The 5593-nt window shown below is 39.9% G+C and overlaps 1 annotated feature.

Annotated features, from left to right (window-relative positions):
• Window positions 1045–1545: an enhancer, noted in NCBI's record as "H3K4me1 hESC enhancer chr6:156952421-156952921 (GRCh37/hg19 assembly coordinates)". NCBI's record gives its function as "activates a minimal SCP1, AML or CMV promoter by ChIP-STARR-seq in primed H9 embryonic stem cells {active_cell/tissue: H9 hESC(primed)}" and the evidence as "EXISTENCE:reporter gene assay evidence [ECO:0000049][PMID:30033119]".

Below are 5593 nucleotides of genomic sequence, written 5' to 3'. Positions count from 1 at the left end.
GTGGTAGTAGCTATGCACATAGATCATGAATTTTCAAGACCCTCTGATGAAAAATCCGTTGTTCTGATTTCAAAAAAGGAGGTCACAGTAATGAAAAAATAAGGATGGAGGCAATGATTGAACCCTTACTGCATGTTAGGCGATGAGTGTCTGTCTCTCAAAGAGGAAAAAAGAAAAAAATATATATATTCTAAGTATATAGGAATATATACGCTATAAATATATATTAGCAATATATATACTATATATACTATTAGTAATATACTGTATATATTATTTATAATATATTTATATATTCTTAGTAATATTATATATTTGTATATTCCTATATATAGGAATATATATGTATATGCTCTTAGTTCTGACAAAATCTTTTGAAGCTTGCATTATTATTACTAATGGCATCTTATATTAATTGATGAGGCAACTAAGATCACAAGATTTAACTTTGATGCCTTTCACACCTAGGCCCTCCCATGGCCCCATCATGGTTCCTTTCTATTTAAGAAGCACTTAAACTAAGTTTTATTAACAAAAGTTCCAGCTACAAATGATTAAAATAGGCTTGAGGGAGACAGACACCCAGGTCCTCCACTTAGCCAGATCTGAGATACACAAGACTGACTGGAGGGAGACTTTGTAACTTGACCAGAAGATGTGAAGAACAATTTCAAGACACGTCTATTTAGGCTTTTTTCATGAAAAAAAAAAAAAAAAAGTGAAAGAATAACTCCAGTTTCCTTGGGCTGATTCTTTTGTGAAATACTTTGGTAATGATCAAGAAATGGGTTTAAAATACTGGTTGAAATATCAGATCAAATTTTCATCTTCACTGTTTGGTATTATTTTTCTAGGTCTCCACTGAGAGAAAAGAAGTATGTTAAGAAACTGGCCCAATAATTTAAATGTTTGTGTATTTCAGCGTGTCCAAAAGCAGAAAGGAATAGAGGAGGAACTACACTGATTTACACTGTTTTAAATAATAAACCAACAAAATCTGGTAAAGGATTTTTCCTAACTCTGAGTTAATGTAAATTCCACCGAAATTTGGCAAATGGGAAGCAAATCTGTGATGAGCGGACTTGGGTGGGAGGTTCATACAGCAGGATTTCTTCCCATTCCCTGGGAGTATCCGAGACTTCCGAAACCATGATCATGATGGTTCTTTGGATGCTAAGTGCTCCTGCAGGTGCGTTATTTAGTAGACCCGGGTGCGAGCACTCAGACACCTGCCAAACAAAGTTTTGGAGAAACAGGGTATCTTGAAATTTAGAAACGCTAGGATGCTTCAGGACGCCTTAGAGATGCACTGCTACCACCACGAAGAAATTTGTCATCTGAGAAGCCAGTGCCACATTCAGACACACAGGCGATGACGCCTAATTGTTTGTGATAAGTGTGGGACCAAATCCAGAAATGTGAACAGCCCTGGTCTAAGCACGCAGGACACTGTTCCCTGTCTGTCCCCACCAGCCTACCTCAAACCTGACAAGTCACCCTATTAAGACACATCCTAGCCCGGGAACCGGGCTCCGGGTTGTGGGGGCCGCGCTCGGCCCTCACCTGGAGCCCTGCGCGCAGGTCCCGTGGATCTGCGAGGCTGCAGTTCCTTAGGCTGGGCCAGGTGATCCGTCGTTAGGCAGTGAAACGCTTCCTAATGCAAAACACGAGTCAGCTGCAGGCGTTGCGCTAAAGCTCCTTTTCCATGGCAGCCTTGGCCCCACCTCCAGGGGCCCCTGTGCCTGGACCTTGCTCTCTGGCTGCCCGCCGGCCCAGCCCGGTCTCCCGCGAGCGTCACTGTGGTCATCGCACATCACCACTGTTCATAGGTAAGAGCAACAACTCCTGAGCGCCTAACATATGCCGGACGTTGGGCTGAGTTGCTTCATGCATGGGTATTACCTCCTGAAAGCTAAACTGTGAGGTGGCTGCTATTATTAACCCGTTATCCACGGAGATGTCAGGTCCCTCGCGCAAGGATGCACCAGGGGCACGGTTGAGCCAGGATCCGAACCGGGTCTGCTACACCCTTGCACCCGACCATGACCTCCAGGCTTCTCCCAAACCCAAGGCCTTTCTCGCGCCTCTCCGCAGAGGAGGGGCCCATCTCCTCACAGACACTCTTAAAATCTACCTACAACTGAACTCATCTTTCCCCTAATAATCTCCCTGAATATTTTTTTCAGTTTCCATAGACATGATGTAAAGCCGTTGCATTATCGTTGAACGTATGAAGGGGTGAGTCTTAAGTCAACCACATAGCATTTGTCTTTAGTTCATTCTAAGATGAGTCTTAGATTTGATTTGTGGTTTATGAGACAAAATGGTAAAATTTTCTTTTCTTTTTTTTTTTGTAAGAGGGAGTCTCACTCTGTTGCCCAGGCTGGAGTACAGTGGAGCGATCTCTGCTCATTGCAACCTCCACCTTCCAGGTTTAAGCAATTCTTGTGCCTCAGCCTCCCAAGTTGCTGGGACTACAGGTGCCACCACCACTCTGGTTAATTTTTTGTATTTTAGTAGAGACTGGGTTTCACCAGTTTGTGCAGGCTGGTCTCGAACTCCTGAGCTCAGGCAATCCACTGCCTCGGCCTTCCAAAGTGCTAGGATTACAGACATGAGCTACTGCTCCGGGCCAAAATGGTAACATTTTTAAATGCAATTTTTAATGGATTTCAAAGCAAATTTGTACATGACCAGAGATCATGGAAATACATAATTACATTGAAGTACACAGATTAAAAGTCGTTTACGCCTGTGGTTAATTACATATGAATTATTTGCGTGCGTGTTGTATATATACAGTCATGTGTCGATTAACAATGGAGATGCATTTTGAGAAACGTGTTGTTAAATGATTTAATGATATGCGAACCTCATAGAGTGTACTTACTAAACCTAGATGGTACCACCTGCTACACACCTAGGCTATATGGTAGAGCCTATTGCTCCTAGGCTACAAACTGGTAACACCTGTTACTGTTCTGAATACTGTAGGCAATTGTAACACAGTGGTAAGTATTTGCGTATCTACACACGTGGGAACATAGAAAAGGTACAGAGAAAATACAGTATAAAATATAAAAATGGTGCACCTGTATAGGGCACTTACCGTGAATGGAACTTACAGGACTAGGAGTTGCCCTGGGTGTCAGTGAGTCAGTGATAAGGGAATATGAAGGCGCAGGACATGATTGCATATGACTGTAGACTTTATAAACACTGTACATTTAAGCTACACTAAGTTAATTTAAAATTTTTTTCTTCAACAATAAATTAACCTTGGCTCACTGTAACTTTATAAAATTAAAAATTTAAAAACTTTTGGACTCATTTGTAATAACACAGCTGAAAACACAAACGCATGGTATAGCTGCACAAAAATATTTCTTTATATCCTTTCCTATAAGCTTTTTTTTTTGTTTTTAAATTTATTTTTTACTTTCAAAACTTTTTTTTCTAAAAACAAAGACATAAACATACTCATTAGCTTAGACCTACACAGGGTCAGGATCATCCATATCACTGTCTTCTACCCCCACATCTTGTCCCACTGGAAGGTGTTTAGGGGCAGTAACACACATGGAGCTGTCGTCTCTTATGGCCGCAATGCCTTCTTCTGGATACCTCCTAAAGGACCTGCCTGAGGCTGTTTACAGTTCTTTTTGTTTTGTTTTGTTTTTTTAAAAAAAGCAGAAGGAATATACTCTAATGATTATAGTATAGTAAAGGCATACACCAGTAACATATTTATTATCAAGTATTACGTACTATATATAATTGTATGTGCTAGACTTTTATAGGGCTGGCAGCATAGTGGGTTGGTTTATACCAGCATCACCATAAACAGGTGAGTAATGCATTGCCCTGTGACTTTATGGCAGCTATGACATCAGTAGGTGATAGGCATTTTTCAGCTCCATCATAATCTTATGGGACCATCTTCATATATGTGGTCTGCCATTGACCCATATGTTGTTGTTGACTATACATACACATAAACATGTATGCACACACACGCACACACGTAATTTTGTCACTTGTGTTCATATACATGTCTTCTCTACATTCCCACACCTTTGGCTGTAAATTACCTAAAGACTGAGTCCAGTTAGAATTTGAACCCAAAGTAAAATGAAGACGACATTTCAACCTGAAAAATAGAGATATCTATTATAAAACAGATATAAACATGGACAATTTTGAGGCTGGTTTATATACTTACTATGCACAAAGAGGTATTTTGATTTAATTTGTGGAATAGCTGTTTCTGCAAAGTTGTAAATATAATGTTATTTAAAATGCACTGGAAGGAAAGACAAATGGCTAATTATCATAAAAAATGTTCAAACTTATGACTATCAAAGAAATGTAAATTAAAAGAACACTGACTCTTGTTTATCAGATTGGCAAGTTTGAAACATTATTAAACTCAGAATTTGAGAGGATAAACATTTGTTGGGAGAATGCTTTGGCAATATGTATCTATATGTTTAAATGTTCATACCCTTTGTCTTGGTAAGCCTACTTCTAGGACTTCATCCTAAGGAAATAATGAAATATTTATAATGCAACATTATGTATGGTGGGTACAAATTAAAAACAATAACATATCCATAATAGGAGAGTCAGGAAATTATGATAGATCGATATTACATATATATGAAAATGTTTATATTAAACAAAAAAGTAAGATATAACCCAGTCTATAAGTATGCCACAATTTTATAAAACAGTATGTTTATATATATGCATAGAAAAAGACTAGAAAGAAATGTATCTTAATGTTAATAGTGGTGGCGGGTTAATGTTGATTTTTATTTTTACATTTCTCTGTGCTTCTAAATTTTTACAAGAGTAGGCCTATTTGTAAAAAGCCCAAATATAACAGTTAAAAATGCATTGGGATAGCTTTCAGGCAAGGTGTCAAAATGAGTAGATGTGGAAAGTTCTGTTCCATACATACACAAATTAGGGACAACTTAGAAACAAAAGTTAGAGCTGCATAGCTGTGCTAAAGGAAAAGTGGGAAGTCTAGGACCAGAGTTCCACAGCAGTGAGTGTTGGCTGAGGCTGGAGGCCTGTGGGAGGCGGGGAGAAGGTAGCCTGTTTGGTATCTAGGATTTCAAAGTGGGAGTGGAACAGAGAGGGTGAGTGCAGTCTCACCTCAGGCTGCTGTCATGAAGTCAGTGCTGGGATTGTGGTTCTATGCAGGTGATTGGAAGTGGAGGAAACTCCAGCTAACCCACCTGGGGTTTCAGCAGGTTTATATACTTACTAGGCATAGTAAGTAAACCAGCTGCTTACTAGCTGTGGCAGAGGTGGAAGCAGTGGAACTTGTGTGACCACGAGGTGGACCAAGTTCTGTCCTGGCTTAAGGTTGGGAACCATAAAGACCCAGGACGGTGAGGCTATACTTCTGAGCTTCTGATGTTGAGGCATCCCAGCCTAGGGAGGGGAAAAGCCTCCTGTACCAGTGTGGAATGATGTTAGCAGCAAGTGACTGTGGCCTAAACCATACAGACATTAATGATTTTCTTAATAAAAAGAGAATGGAGGTGGGCTGCCTTAGGGTGGTCTAGCAGCTCAACAATGC

This window comes from Homo sapiens, chromosome 6, assembly GCF_000001405.40.
Source record: "Homo sapiens chromosome 6, GRCh38.p14 Primary Assembly".
NCBI lineage: Eukaryota > Metazoa > Chordata > Mammalia > Primates > Hominidae > Homo > Homo sapiens.
This window is presented reverse-complemented; position numbering and strand designations above follow the sequence as displayed.